The 15,857-nt window shown below is 41.0% G+C and overlaps 2 protein-coding genes across 15 annotated transcripts in view; one reads left to right on the top strand and one right to left on the bottom strand.

The window, feature by feature from the left end:
- Window positions 1–4,876, top strand: part of ZNF461 (zinc finger protein 461) — a 30,220-nt gene extending 25,344 nt beyond the window's left edge. For all 10 annotated transcript variants that reach the window (NM_001322826.2, NM_001322823.2, NM_001297623.3 and 7 more), the window contains one exon: window positions 1,451–4,876. In NM_001322826.2, coding sequence (NP_001309755.1) covers window positions 1,451–2,841 — 1,391 coding nt within the window. In that variant the 3' untranslated portion in view covers window positions 2,842–4,876. The remainder of the gene's footprint in view (window positions 1–1,450) is intronic.
- Window positions 4,877–7,379: 2,503 nt separating this feature from the next.
- ZNF382 (zinc finger protein 382) overlaps window positions 7,380–15,857 on the bottom strand; it is a 28,802-nt gene continuing 20,324 nt past the window's right edge. For all 5 annotated transcript variants that reach the window (NM_001398491.1, NM_001398490.1, NM_001398492.1 and 2 more), the window contains one exon: window positions 7,380–15,364. In NM_001398491.1, the coding sequence (NP_001385420.1) occupies window positions 13,944–15,364 (1,421 nt within the window). In that variant the 3' untranslated portion in view covers window positions 7,380–13,943. The remainder of the gene's footprint in view (window positions 15,365–15,857) is intronic.

Below are 15,857 nucleotides of genomic sequence, written 5' to 3'. Positions count from 1 at the left end.
CAGGTTGGAGTGCAGTGGCATGATCTTGGCTCACTTCAGCCTCCACCTCCCGGTTCAAGCAATTCTCCTGTCTCAGCCTCCCGAGTAGCTGGGATTACAGGCATCCGCCACCACGTCCAGCTAATTTTTGTATTTTTAGTAGAGACAGGTTTCACCATGTTGGCCAGGCTGGTCTCCAATGCCTGACCTCAAGTGATCTACCCGCCTAGGTCTCCCAAAGTTCTGGGATTACAGGTATAAGCCACCATGCCTGGCCAAATATTAAAAAGATTAATAAATGAATATGTAATTCCAGTAGTACTTCAGGAAGGACTTCATTAGATAATATTATCAGGAATACAATTCTGAGGAAGTGACTTTTACTCTGAGACTTAGATGAAATGAAGCCCGCTATACAAAAAATCTAGGCAAAAAGATTCTTAGCACATGGAAGAAGCTATGAAGCTCTAACATAGGAAAAGGCTTTGGCATGTCCTAATTGTTGACAGATTAATTTGGTTATAGCTTAATGAATAAAAAGGAATTGGACTCAAAATGAGATTATATTGGTTAGCAGAAGCCCTATATTCTCATGCCTAGGAGCTGAAGTTTTAAAATTTCTGTGGGAAGCTGTATTTGTAGGTTAAGCTGCTTGTGACAGAGACCCAGAACAATAGCGATTGAAACCATATAGATGTTTAAATTAATTTTCTTTTTTTGATACAATGTCTATAACCCAGGCATATAAATTTAATTTTCTCTCGCATTAAAATCCAAGCTAGAAAGGTATCTACTCTGCAAAACCATTATTTGATAGACATGACAGCAAATCAATATTGCCATCAGCTTTGTTGAGGAAGAGGGAAAACAGGCAATATAGGGCGTGGGCCACCTGGCTCTTAACGAAAGAACTCAGATGGTATTACATAATATTTCTGTATTTCTTTAGGCAGAACCCAGTTGCATGGCATTCTCAGCTGTGAAAGAGCTTGGGAAATGCAGAGTTTATATTGGCAGCTTTATTCTCAAATAAAAAGCCATGGGTTCAATTGATATTTTTTAAAAAGGGAAAAAAATAGATATTTGGCAACAGCTGACAATCTGCTGCATAAACCTTTGGCCTGATAGTGTTAAACATATGAACTCTGACTCAGTTGACCTCATTCTAAGACCAACTCTCTTAGATTCTGATTGAGTTGATTTAGAATGTTTCCTGAACATCCATAATTGCAACAAACTCTCAAGGTAATTCAGAGGTGGATCAAAATTTCAGCACCATTGAATTATTTCCCTAATTAACTACTTCATTTGAGTGCTCTCATTTCCCTGTGCTCCTTTACCCATTTAAGAGTTCTCCAAGCCTTTTATTTCTTATATGAATTATTTGCAGTTATCTCTCATTGCTACCATAGATATTTTATTTCTCTTATAGTACAAAACCAGGAGTTAAAATATATTTCTTATCTTTCAGACTTGGCATCCAGAGATGAGCCCCAGAAGTTATCTCCAAAAAGGGATATTTATGAAACAGAATTATCCCAGTGGGTTAACATGGAAGAATTTAAAAGCCATAGTCCTGAGAGATCAATTTTCAGCGCTATCTGGGAAGGCAACTGTCATTTTGAGCAACATCAGGGACAAGAGGAGGGTTATTTTAGACAACTTATGATTAACCATGAAAACATGCCCATTTTTAGCCAACATACTTTACTCACTCAAGAATTTTATGATAGAGAGAAAATCTCTGAATGTAAAAAGTGTAGAAAAATCTTCAGTTACCATTTATTTTTTAGTCACCACAAAAGAACTCATTCTAAAGAACTTTCTGAATGTAAAGAATGCACAGAAATTGTTAATACACCATGCCTTTTTAAACAACAGACAATTCAAAATGGTGACAAATGCAATGAGTGTAAAGAATGTTGGAAGGCCTTTGTTCATTGCTCACAACTTAAACATCTAAGAATTCATAATGGTGAAAAACGCTATGAATGTAACGAATGTGGGAAGGCCTTTAATTATGGCTCAGAACTTACTCTACATCAAAGAATTCACACTGGTGAGAAACCTTATGAATGTAAAGAATGTGGGAAGGCCTTTAGACAGCGATCACAGCTTACTCAACATCAGAGACTTCATACTGGTGAAAAACCCTATGAATGTAAGCAATGTGGGAAGGCTTTTATTCGTGGCTTTCAACTTACTGAACACCTGCGACTCCATACTGGAGAGAAACCTTATGAATGTAAAGAATGTGGAAAGACTTTTAGGCATCGCTCACATCTTACTATACATCAGAGAATTCATACTGGTGAGAAACCCTATGAATGTCGGGAATGTGGGAAGGCCTTTAGCTATCACTCAAGCTTCTCACACCATCAGAAAATTCATTCTGGCAAGAAACCTTATGAATGTCATGAATGTGGGAAGGCTTTTTGTGATGGCTTACAACTAACCCTACATCAGAGGATTCATACTGGTGAGAAACCCTATGAGTGTAAGGAATGTGGGAAGACTTTTAGACAGTGTTCACACCTCAAAAGACATCAGAGAATTCATACTGGTGAGAAACCTCATGAATGCATGATATGTGGTAAGGCCTTTAGACTTCATTCACACCTTATTCAACATCAAAGAATTCATACTGGTGAGAAACCCTATGAATGTAAGGAATGTGGGAAGGCCTTTAGCTATCATTCAAGCTTCTCACACCATCAGAGAATTCATTCTGGAAAGAAACCTTATCAATGCGGGAAGGCGTTTAATCATAGATTACAACTTAACTTACATCAGACTCTTCATACTGGCGAGAAGCCAGTCAGGTTTCCTCTCCTCCCTCCCCATCCTAGTCTAGCATCATGAAATTTGTTGATGGAAATATACATTGTCTTTGTTTTATTTAAGGAAAAAGTTGGTAAGCCACCAGTTTCATTAGTATTTATTTATTTAAATAATCCTTGAAAATCAAATGTTTTTAAGTGAGAAAGTGGATAACTAAAGTGTAAATTTTGGTCTCATTTTAATGCTGTTTCTGAGTTATTGTATTAACCATTATTGAGAATAAATTTTTTTATTGAGAATAAATTTTCTAAAATTACATGTTTCACTGAAACCAGTGAAATATTTCACTGAAACAGTGAAATAAAATGAAAACAATTTCCTCCCTTCCCTCAAATCTCTGAGATAACCAGTATGTGTATTTCTTCTTCCTTTATGCTCAAACAACCTGTACACAGAAAGCATTTTTTGCATGTGTTTGGAGGAGCTTTTACCCCCATACAGACATTTGACAGCGTCTTGTCCTTTTCATAATAATCATGAATACTTTTCCAGGTCAGTACGTAAAGATGTAACCCATTCTTTGTAAGGTTCAGAATATTTCTAGAATGGAATGTATGTCCGTATTTTGGGCCATTACCTACTACAGACATTGAAGTTGTTTCTAATGTTCACCTAGAACTCTAATTTTACCTTCTTTTGTTTCTATTGTGCAGATTCCCAACAGTGGGATTAAAGAGTATCTGGCGTATATATTTTGACATTACATTTATTTTTTAAAATCTTCTAAATTTTTTGTTTAATAAAAGCACACATTATAAAAATTCAAAAATTACCAAAAATGTGAAAATTAATTCTCCCCTAACATCCAGTTCTGTAGCCACTCACTTTCCACAGATGCAACAACTGCTATCAGTTTCCTTTTATTCTAACGGGAATATTTCATGTAAATTTCATAAATTCTTTGGACAAAAGTAGGTTATTCATAATATGTGATTTATTACACATTCTCATTATTAGTCCACATTTGGCCTACTTCATTTTTTTTTTTTTTGAGACACACCCAGGCTGGAGTCCAGTGGTGCAATCTTGGCTCACTGCAACCTCCGCCACCCAGGTTAAAAATTCTCCTGCCTCAGCCTCCTGAGTAGCTGGGACTACAGGCATGCGCAGCCACTATGCCCGGCCAATAAGCTATATTTATTCTTATTTGATGTGGATGAAAATTATCAAAATTGGCCAGGCTTGGTGGCTCATGCCTGTAATCCCAGCACTTTGGGAGGCCGAGGCGGGCGGATCACGAGGTCAGGAGATCGAGACCATCCTGGCTAACATGGTGAAACCCCGTCTCTACTAAAAAAAAAATACAAAAATTAGCTGGGCGTGGTGGTGGGTGCCTGTAGTCCCAGCTACTCGGGAGGCTGAGGCAGAAGAATGGCGTGAACCTGGGAGATGGATCTTGCAGTAAGCTGAGATCGCGCCACTGCACTCCAGCGTGGGCAACACAGTGAGACTCTGTCTCAAAAAGAAAAAAAAAAAAGAAAATTGTCAAAACACAACCAATAGATAATGTTAACATGCATTCTAACATGCAATTTATTGGATTTAGCGAATAGAATGTGAGTGGAAGTTACTTTTGGTAGAACTGTTGGGAAAAGGGCTTGTGGAGTGCCTGCATAAACTGGCCATAAAAATATGGGACAATAAGTTGTGGAAAGCCACAAGAGGCCTCTGAGGAGGAAAGCCTCCTAATTGCCATCACGTTCCTATGACCAGAGTGTGACCTGCTCTCTTATCTATAAACACTGTGCTCAAGGAGAAAGACACTCCTTTGAAGCATTGGAATGTGGCCAGATATGCTGGCTTCTAGTTAGGCCCACTCCCCACAGCTGCTCTCTGATAAGTAAAAGAATAAATCAGTAGTTAAGTTTATGCTGCTTCAGCACAAAGAAAATGTACCTAAACTGCCATTGCCCCCCTTTCACTGTTTCACCCCTGAACATCTGCTTCTTAGATCTAAGTGATTGTACTCAATAAATAGTGTGGAGACCAGAGCTTGGCGCCTTTGCAGCTTTTGATTTGCTCTGGCCCCTTGGCTCCCACCTTTATGAACTCTTAACCTGTCTCTTCTCATTCCTTTGTCGCCACCGGACTTCAGGTACCCTACAGGTGGTGTTGAGGCTGGTCCCCAACAGAACTTTACATGTGCTTTCATATTATGACTTGGCTTTTGCCACTGGCCATGAGAAGGACATGCCACATGTAGCCATTTGCTCATCCATGAAAACCTTCCAAGAATAGTGGCAGTGCTTCACTTCCACCTTCTAAATCTCATGCAAATTTCACCAACATGGTGAAACTCCGTCTCTACTAAAAATACAAAAATTATCCAGGTGTGGTGGCAGGCCCCTATAATCCCAGCTACTCAGGAGGCTGACGCAGGAAAATCACTTGAACCCAGAGGGCGGAGGTTGCAGTGAGCCGAGATCGCGCCATTTCACTCCAGCCTGGGTGAAAGGGCGAAACTCTGTCTCAAAAAGTAAGGCCGGGTGTGGTGGCCCATGCCTGTAATCCCAGCACTTTGGGAGGCCGGGGCAGGTGGATCACCTGAGGTCAGGAGTTGGAGACCAGCCTGGCCAACATAGTGAAACCCCTCTCTACTAAAAATACAAAAATTGGCCTGGCGTCGTGGCACGCACCTGTAATCCCAGCTACTCAGGAGGCTGAGGCAGGAGAATCGCTTGAACCCAGGAGGCAGAGGTTGCAGTGAGCCGAGATCACGCCATTGCACTCCAGCCTGGGCAACAGAGCGAGACTTTGTCTCAAAAAAATGAATAAAAATAAAAAAATGACCACTATCAAAAAGACAAACAATAAGAGATCTTGGTGAGGGCAGAGAGAGGGGAACACTTTAGTACACTGCTGGTGGGAATGTAAATTAGTATAACCACTATAGAAAAAATTATAGAGTTTCCTCAAGAAACTAAACATAGATCAACCAAATAATCCAGAAATCTCACTACTGGGTACATATCCAAAAGGAAGGAAATCAGTATATCTAAGAGGTATCTGCACACCCAAGTTTACTGCAGCACTATTAACAACAGCCAAAATATGGAATCAACCTAAGTCTCCATCAATGCATAATGGATTTATACACAATGGAATACTATTCAGCCATAAACAGAATGAAATCCTACCATTTGCAGCAACATGGGTGGAAGTGGAGGTTAATTATGTTAAGGGAAATAAGCGAGGAACAGAAAGACAAACTTGGCATGTTCTCATGCATAAGTGGGAGCTAAAAGAGTTGATCTCATGGAGGTCAGAGTAGAATGATGGTTACCAGAGGTTCGGAAGTGAGTGGCTAGTGGTGAAGAGAGGTTGGTTAATGGATATAAAAATATGCTTAGATAGGGCCGAGTGCGGTGGCTTATGCCTGTAATCCCAGCACTTTGGGAGGCCGAGGTGGGTGGATCACGACGAGGTCAAGAGTCGAGACCATCCTGGCCAACATGGTGAAATCCCATCTCTACCAAAAATACAAAAATAAGCTGGGCGTGGTGGCTCACGCCTGTAGTCCCAGCTACTCAGGAGGCTGAAGCAGGAGAATTGCTTAAACCCAGGAAGCAAATGTTGCCGTGAGCCAAGATCGCACCACTGCACTCCAGTCTGACAACAGAGCGAGACTGTCTCAAAAAAATATATATATGGTTAGATAGAAGGAATAAGTTCTAGTGTTTGATAGGATAGTAGGATGACTATAGTTAATAATTTATTGTATATTTCAAAATAGGTAGAATATTTGAAATGTTTCTAACACAAGGAAATGATAAATGTTTGAGGTGGATATCCTAATTACCCTGATTTATTACATATTGTATGCATGTATCAAAATATCACACATATCCCATAAATATGTACAATCATTATGCAGCAATAAAAACATACACTGTAATCCCAGCACTTTGGCAGGCTGAGGCGTGGGATCACTTGAGGTCAGGAGTTCAAGACCAGCCTGGCCAACATGGTGAAACCCCATTTCTACTAAAAATACAAAAATTAGCCGGGTATGGTGGTACATGCCTGTAATCCCAGCTACTTGGGAGGCTGAGGCTGACGAATTGGTTGAACCTGGGAGGCGGAGGCTGCAGTGAGCCGAGATTGTGCCACTGCACATATACAATCAGGGACCTTTAAATGGCACTGTGTTGGAATTAAGAATACCACTGAGAACCAAGGGATAGCAGAATTGGCCCCACTTAGTATTATTCCCAATGATTGCATATGCCCTGATGACTATGTATTGGCTGGTTTGTCAGCCACTGTTAGATGTGATGGAGACGCCCAACAGAGCACACACACTGAGTTCCATCTTCCATAGGTGTGCCACCCCCAGACATGAAGCCTGCCACTCCAATGGGGGGCTGATCATCTGGATGGAGTTTACAAATACGGGCTAACTGTAATGTGTTACTTGTGTTGTGAGTTGACCTGCGGAACAATGATGAGACCATGTGGCAAGGCCTGTGTGTGTGTAGGCTGACTACTACTGGATATGTAATTCAGAAGCCAGTCTAAAGATATCTTTGAAGACACAAATCAGGAGGTACTGCTGCTGATGAAGCAGAGCTAGGGATTTTTATTTATTTAAAAAAATTACAGACAGTACAATTCACTTTTTTGTATGTATACTTCTATTTTTTACACATGCATAGATTTTTTATCTATGACCACAAGCAGGATACAAAACAATTCCAACACCTCAAAGAATTGCCTCGTGCAACCCCTCTGTATTCAGACCCCACCCCACCCCAGACACTCAGCAACATTTGATCTGTTTTCTGTTGTTATATTTTCACCTTTTCCAGCATGTCATATAAATGGAATCATACAGTATGTAACTTTTTGGGACTGGGTTCTTTCCTTTAGCGTAATGCATTTGAGGTTCATCTATGTAGCTGCATGTTTCAGTAGCTCATTATTGTTATCGTTGAGTAGAATTCCATCTTGGGAATGTACCACAGTGTATCCATTTACACACTGAAGAACATTTGCTTGTCTCTAGTTTTTTTTTTAATTATAAATAATACTTACAAACACTCATGTACAGGTTTCTGTGTGCACATAATTTTTCATTTCTCTAGGATAAGTACTTATAAGTGGGATTGCTGGGTCATATTGGATGTGTAACTTTTTGAGACTGGCATATTGTTTTCCAGACCGGCTTTACCATTTTGCCTTTCCTATTAGCAATGTATGAAAGTTCCAGTAACAAATCCACACCTGTACTCCTGAATCTAAAACAAAAGTTAAAAAAGAAAGAGTTCCAGTTGTTCCACATTCTTGTCAGCACTTGGTATTGTCACATATCTAGGGTTTTGAAAAGTCCGATTATAGGCCGGGTGCGGTGGCTCACGCCTGTAATCCCAGCACTTTGGGAGGTCGAGGTGGGCGGATCATGAGGTCAGGAGATCGACACCACCCTGGCTAACACAGTAAAACCCCGTCTCTACTAAAAATACAAAAAATTAGCTGGGCATGGTGGCAGGTGCCTGTAGTCCCAGCTACTCAGGAGGCTGAGGCAGGACAATGGTGTGAACCCAGGAGGCGGAGCTTACAGTGAGCCAAGATCGAGCCACTGCCTCCAGCCTGGGCGACAGAGCGAGACACTGTCTCAAAAAAAAAAAAAAAGCCTGATTATAAACTGATAAATATCTAGAACATCCCAGGTGCATGTTGTAGACTAGTGTTGGAGCCTGTGCTTTTGCTGTTGCACATTACTTGTGAAGCAGGACATGGCAAGCCTGGCTCTATTGCTAGACCAGAAACTGAGTGGAGAAATTCAAGCATTAGCTGACAAGAAATGATCACATTTGAGATGTACTGTGCACTATCTGATACTGGGGACACAGAGGGTGAGGAGATATGCTTGTTCACATACATTATCAGGAAATACACAGCAGTTATAGGAACCATGTTTATAAGATGGAGCTGATTTACAGTCAGACTGCAAAGCTCTAAAATTATCTCCACGATGCCCAGATGTCTGGCTCTGACTCTTGGTTGGGATAAGGCCAGTGAGCTATACAAGGTACTAGTTAAAGTCTGATATTCCCTGGGAGACTCCCAGAGCCAATTTGTTTATGATGGCTTTTTAACTTTTTTAAACTTACATAACCAGTTAGATAGCCTGGCTTGACTATGTAACCAGTGAACAGAGAAGCATAAATACCCATGCAGTGGCTGGGCACGGTGGCTCATGCCTATAATCCCAGCACTTTGGGAAACCGAGGTGGGCGGAGGATTGCCTGAGGTCAGGACTTCGAGACCAGCCTGGCCAACATGGAGAAACCCTGTCTCTACTAAAAACACAAAAACTAGCTGGTTGTGGTGGCACATGCCTGTAATCCCAGATACTTAGGGAGGCTGTGGCAGGAGACTTGCTTGAACCTGGGAGGCGGAGGTTGCAGTGGGCTGAGATTGCACCATTGCACTCCAGCCTGGGTGACAGAGCAAGACTCTGTCTCAAAAAACAAAACAATGACAACAAAAAAACCCATGTAGAGAAGTTCTGCTGTCAGCTCTCCCCAAATCAAGTTTGATACAGGTCTTAGTGCTTCAGTTCAGAGACAGTGTGCGGTCTGTGTGTGAATAAAACCACTGAGGAATGTGCAGCTAGATGATTCTGAGCCCTAATGCTTACCTTCCCTTTCTTTTGCTGAGCCACATCCTTTGCTTCTAAGTAAAAACATTTCCTGGGTATGCTCTGTGGAGTCCTGTTAGTCCTCTGAACTGATGAACTCATTTTGCATATGCCTTATGACCTTGCAGTTAGGTCTACAAAATATGAATTTGTAAAATCACTCCTATTTTGTCGTATATGTTTAGGTCAAGTTGACTTAGATTCTATAAACATGTTTGCTCCTTAGAGTTGCCCAAACTTCATTGAGCAATATATAAGTTAGATGAAAAATACTCATGCACCACATGACATTTTGGTCCATGATGGACTGCATATATAATGGTGGTCTCATAAGATTATAGTACCAGCCAGGCATGGTGGCTCACACCTGTAATCCCAGCACTTTGAGAGGCCGAGGCGGGTGGATCACGAGGTCAGGAGATTGAGACCATCCTGGCCAACATGGTGAAACCCCGTCTCTACTAAAAATACAAAAATTAGCCGGGTTTGGTGGTGTGCACCTGTAGTCCCAGCTACTCATGAGGCTGAGGCAGGAGAATCACTTGAACCCAGGAGGCGGAGGTTGCAATGAGCCGAGATCACACCACTGCACACCAGCCTGGGCGACAGAGTGAGACTCTGTCTCAAAAAAAAAAAAAGATTATAGTACCACATTTTTACTGTACCTTTTCTGTGTTTAGATAGGTTTACATATACAAATAATTACCATTGTGTTACAATTGCCTATAGTATCCAGCACAGTAACATGCAGTACAGATTTGTAGCCTAGGAGCAACAGGCTCTACCATATAGCCTAGGTGTTTAGTAGGCTGTACCATCTCGGTTTGTATCAGCACTCTGTGATGCTTGCACGATCATGACACTGCCTCATGATGCATTTCTCAGAATGTATCCCTATTAAGTGATGCAATGCTGTATTTATCAATTCATAAAGTGAAAATCTCTAAAGTGAGTGAAGTGGCTCACACCTGTAACCCCAGCATTTTAGGAGGCCGAAGAGGGAAGATTGCTTGAGGCCAGGAGTTCAATACCAGCCTGGGCAACACAACGAGACCCCATATGTATAAAAAATAAAAACATTAGCTGAGAGGAATGGCGCCTGCCTGTAGTCCTAGCTACTTGGGAGGCTGAGGCAGGAGAATTGCTTGAGTCCAGGAATTCAAGTCTGCAGTGAGCTATAATGGCACCACTCTACTCCAGCCTAGGTGACAGACTGAGAACCTGTCTCAAAAAAATAAAAAAAATGCAAAGAAAATTTCTGATTTCTTCAAAAGAAATCTTCAAGCAGGATTCTGGAATACAGCCCAATGCTGTTTCATGCCAAAATATAAACCACAGGACCAAATTTTCCTAAGGAGCGGCAGCTTATATGTAAATAGCTTTAGAAAACACAATTTCGGCTGGGTGCGGTGGCTCACACCTGTAATCTCAGCACTTTGGGAGGCTGAGGCGGGTGGATCGCCTGAGGTCAGGCTTTGGAGACCAGCCTGGCCAACATGATGAAACCCCGTCTCTACTAAAAATACAGGTGGGCGCCTGTAATCCCAGCTACTTGGGAGGCTGAGGCAGGAGAATTGCTTGAGGTAGAGGTTGCAATGAGCCGAAATTGCGCCATTGCACTCCAGCCTGGGAAACAAAAGTGAAACTCTGTCTCAAAAAAAAAAAAAAAGAAAAGAAAACGCAACTTTATTTAGACTTTCTTTAAAGCATTCAAAAGTACCTCCTTCACGGACATTCATTAGATTCCATACCTTGATTTCTCTCTGCGCCTTTGTTGAGAAATGACAGCACGGGGTCTTTTGAGGATAGATCGCATTATCCTGCCTTTCTTTTGGGGGCTATTTTCATTTTTTGTGTGTGCAAAATTGGGAAGTATATGATGAATATGATTTACTGCCAGAAAATGAGAAAGAATATATATGGACCCCTCAATTGAGTTGTAATTATTAAGGTATGTAATCGTAAGGCAAAAATGCAGCCAAATCTTCAACTGTATTTTATGGCCAGTTTTTCTTCATGCCAAAATCACCTATTAGTAACAACAATACCTTTGCTCATTGACTCTAGAATCCATATATTTACACCTTTATGTATTTATTTATTTATGAGACAGGGTCTCGCTCTGTTACCCAGGCTGGAGTGCAGTGGTGCTATCCTGGCTCACTGCAACCTCCGCCTCCCGGGCCCAAGTGATCCTCCCACTCAGCCTCCCGAGTAGCTGGGACTACAGGCATGTGCCACCATTCCTGGCTAATTTTTTGTAGAGATGGGGTTTTGGCATGTTTCCCAGGCTGGTCTCGAACTCCTGGGCTCAAGTGATCCTCCCAACACCTCCCAAAGTGCTGGGATTACAGAAATGAGCCACCAAGCCCAGGCTTATACCTTTATTTTTATTATATATTAACAGATACTAAAAAATTACTTTTCCCTTTTAATAAAACAATCAAGTTAAATAAAAACTTTTTTATTAAATAAAAAATAAAACTGTTTGTAGTTAAAAAGCCTGATGATTTTGTTGGCCAGGAATTTGGGAAGGCCTCAGCTGGGCAGTTCTTGCTTGAGGTCTCATTTGTGGTACCAGTTGGGTGTTAGCAGGGTCCACAGTCATCTGAAGGCTTGACTGGATGTCCAAGAGGCCTCACTTACATGGTTGGCAGCTGATGCTAGCTGATGGCTGGGAGCTCAGCTGTAGCTGTTGACCAGGGGGCCTACACATAGACTTCCTAGCATTATGGTCTCGGTATGGCTAGACTTCTTTCATGAAAGAGAGCTTTCCCCAGAGTTAAAAGTCCCTGTAATCCTAGCACTTTGGGAGGCCGAGGCAGGCAGATCACCTGAGGTCAGGAGTTCGAGACCAGCCTGGCCAACATGATGAAACCCTGTCTCTACTAAAAATACGAAAATTAGCTGTGCGTGTGGCGTGTGCCTGTAATCTCAGCTACCCGGGAGGCTGAGGCAGGAGAATCACTGGAACCTGGGAGGCAGAGGCTGCAGTGAGCCAAGATCATGCCACTGCACTCCCGCCTGGGTGACAGAGCAAGATTCTGTCTCAAAAAAAAAAAAAAAAAAGTCCCAAGACCCATTTGTTTCCTTGTAATCTTCCTTTCTTTGGTATTAATTCTTTGATGGTGTAAAAGAAATGAGCAACAGTTAAAGTCATTCTTACAATCATTTCATTTGAAGAGTTCTCATCCTATGTGAATTCCCTGGTGTAGTATAATATATGAATGATGGCTATAAGCTTTTCCATATTCATCATTTGTACCTGACCAGTAGATACAGACCATAGGTAAAGACTATATTCCTCCCCACGCCCTAACTTCAACACAGTCACAGGACTTTTCTCTAGTTGGAATTCTCTGATGTTGAACAAGGGAAATGCTGGATGCCTCTCCTCTAGTAGACTTTTTGAGTTCAAATAAGGCATTTACTGTGGCTAACGGCAATGTCACGTTTATTACATTTGCCTGGAAGATTTGGGCTGTGGCTAAATGTTTTTCTACATATATTACATTCACATTCCCAGTTTTCACAATAACATTGATTGAGTTTCCCTGCAGCATGAATTCTCTGGTTTGAACCAGCACCATATTGATAAAATTTATAGCTGTTTCCCTTCAGTGTCAATTATCTCATGTGGTGAAAGTTCTGAATTGTCTGCCAGTATCTGACTGAATACACACATGCTCTAAGACCCAGCGATTCCACTCCTAAGTATATACACAAGAGAAATACATGTATGTACACCAAGACAAGTATGTTCTCAGAAGCATGATTTATTATGACCCTAAGCTGTAAACAATGTAAAAGTCCATCAACAGCAGAATGGATAAATTGTGATATAATCATATAATTGAATTCTATACTGGATAAAAATAAATAAACTTCTGCCACACGTACTAATGATTAGACTCACGGACATGATGAAGGTAATAAGCTGTATATGAAAGAATACATGATATATAATCCAATTTATAGAAAGGTTTATAATAGTAAAAACTAATTTGTAATGTTAGAAGTCAGAATCATGGTCAACTGTGAGGAGGTAACAACTAATTTTTATTTTGTATTTGCAATGAGAAATACAGTTCATACCTCCTTCTTTTAAAGAACCTCTACTCACTGTGTAGTCCATGGACCACAGTCAGTTGGCCAACTAGTTATTACTGATGAACAAAAAGATATGTATGGAAATGGAAAATGTGATTTTAAATGTTTATAACACCTTGACAGAGGAAGTTTTTGTCTGCTGAAGCTAGTAATAAAAAAAAAGTTTGGACTTCTTAATGATTTTTGTCATCTAATTTGTCTAATAATATTTGTGTGTGTGTGTGTGTGTGTGTGTGTGTTTTACAGGCTGGCAAACAGTAGGTTACCATGTGGTATAGTACCTTAAACTGTTGGATATTACGCTTGCAAGCAACATCATCTACAGGGTTTACTATGACTTAACATTTTTTTACAAAAAAAGCCACATTACTTACTGAATTCCCGTGGTTTCTACCTTGTGAGTTTTCTGATGGACAATGAGGTTTGACTTACAACTGAAGAACTTCCCACACTGTTTACATTCATATGGTTTCTCGCCTGTGTGAGTTTTCTGATGGCGAATGAGGTTTGATTTCCTACTGAAGGCTTTCCCACACTGAGGACACCCATTGGATTTTTCTCCTGTATGTATTCTGTGATGAACAGTGAGGATTGCCTTCTGGCGGAAGGACTTCCCACATTCATTACAAATATAGGGTTTTTCCCCCGTGTGAATTCTCTGGTGGAGAGTGAGGGTTGTCTTTTGGCAGAAGGACTTCCCACATTCATTGCAAATATAGGGTTTCTCTCCTGTGTGAGTTCTCTGATGAACAGTGAGGGTTGTCTTCTGGATAAATGCCTTCCCACACTCATTACACTGATACGGTTTCTCTCCTGTGTGAGTTCTCTGGTGATCAATGAGGTATGACTTCTTCCTAAAGGCACTTCCACACTGAGGACATTCATAGGCTTTCTCCCCCGTATGTGTTTTGTGATGTCTAGTGAGGGTGGCCTTCTGGCGGAAGGACTTCCCACAATCGATACAAATAAAGGGTTTCCCCTCTATATGTGTTTTCTCATGAAGGGTGAGGGCTGTCTTCTGACGGAAGGCCTTTCCACATTGATTGCAAACATAAGGTTTTTCACCTGTGTGAATTCGCTGATGTTCAATGAGGTATGACTTCCTTCTAAAGTTATTCCCACAGTAAGGACAGTGAAAGGGTTTCTCTTCTGTTTGAGGTCTCTGAGGCATAATAAAAACAGGCTTTCTGCAGAGGAATTTCCCATATTTGTTGTAGGCAGAGGGCTTCTTTTCCATAAGATTACTTGGATGGACACTGAGGCTTGACTTTTCTATGAAGGCAATTCCATCTTTATTGTATTCAAAGGTTCTTTCTCCTCTGTGAGCTCTAGTATGTGTAAATAGCATTCCTTTCATCAGGAAGGATTTTTCACATTCATTATGGTCAAATGGTTGCTCTGGAGCTTGAACCTTCTGATGCTGAATAAGCTCCTGTTTACCACTGAGAACTCTTTCTGTTTGTTTATGGAGATTCACTGCAGGATGAATTTTCTCATGCTTGGTATTGAGGAGTGATTTCTCCCATCCAGTACTGTCACCAAACTTCTCTTTTATGGGGCTTATATTTCTAATGACTAGTTCTGAAATATTTTTCAAAACTTTTCCATCAGGTTTATATTCACATAGTATTGTTTTTGAAATACGGTTCTTGCCTAGAGTAAATGTTTTACCATAAATATTACTTCTCTCCTTAATTAGTTTTTTGTGGTTGATGAATATGAGGGGTCTAGAATGCCTGTCTTGGTATTCTTTGAACTTCACTAAGACATCTTCAGTTTTCCCATCTTCTTCTAGAAAAGAATACCATTAACACTGTGAGTCTTCACATAAATGCTATGGATTGGGTATACATACAGACAAACTATGGTGGGACTATCTCACTACCGTGATCTACAAAAAGGCCAGAATAAATTACCTCTTGGTAGGGAAAATGTATAAACATAAATACAAATCTTGCTACTCTGTTAAAATGAAGAAAAACTGGCATAAGCAAAAAACACTCATATCTTTGGCATGTTATAAATATAAGCTGCACTGAGAAGGTATAGGAAACACAAGGATGGCCGGGCGCAGTGGCTCATGGCTGTAATCCCAACACTCTGGGAGGCCAAGGCGGGCGGATCACCTGAGGTCAGGAGTTTGAGACCAGCCTGGCCAACATGGTGAAACCCTGTCTCTACTAAAAATTCAAAATTAGCTGGGCATGGTGGTACATGCCTGTAATCCCAGCTACTCAGGAGGCTGAGGCAGGAGAATTGCTTGAACCTGGGAGGCAGAGGTTGT

Source organism: Homo sapiens, chromosome 19, assembly GCF_000001405.40.
Source record: "Homo sapiens chromosome 19, GRCh38.p14 Primary Assembly".
NCBI lineage: Eukaryota > Metazoa > Chordata > Mammalia > Primates > Hominidae > Homo > Homo sapiens.
Note: the sequence above shows the minus strand (reverse complement) of the source record. Positions and strands in the feature narration are given on the sequence as shown.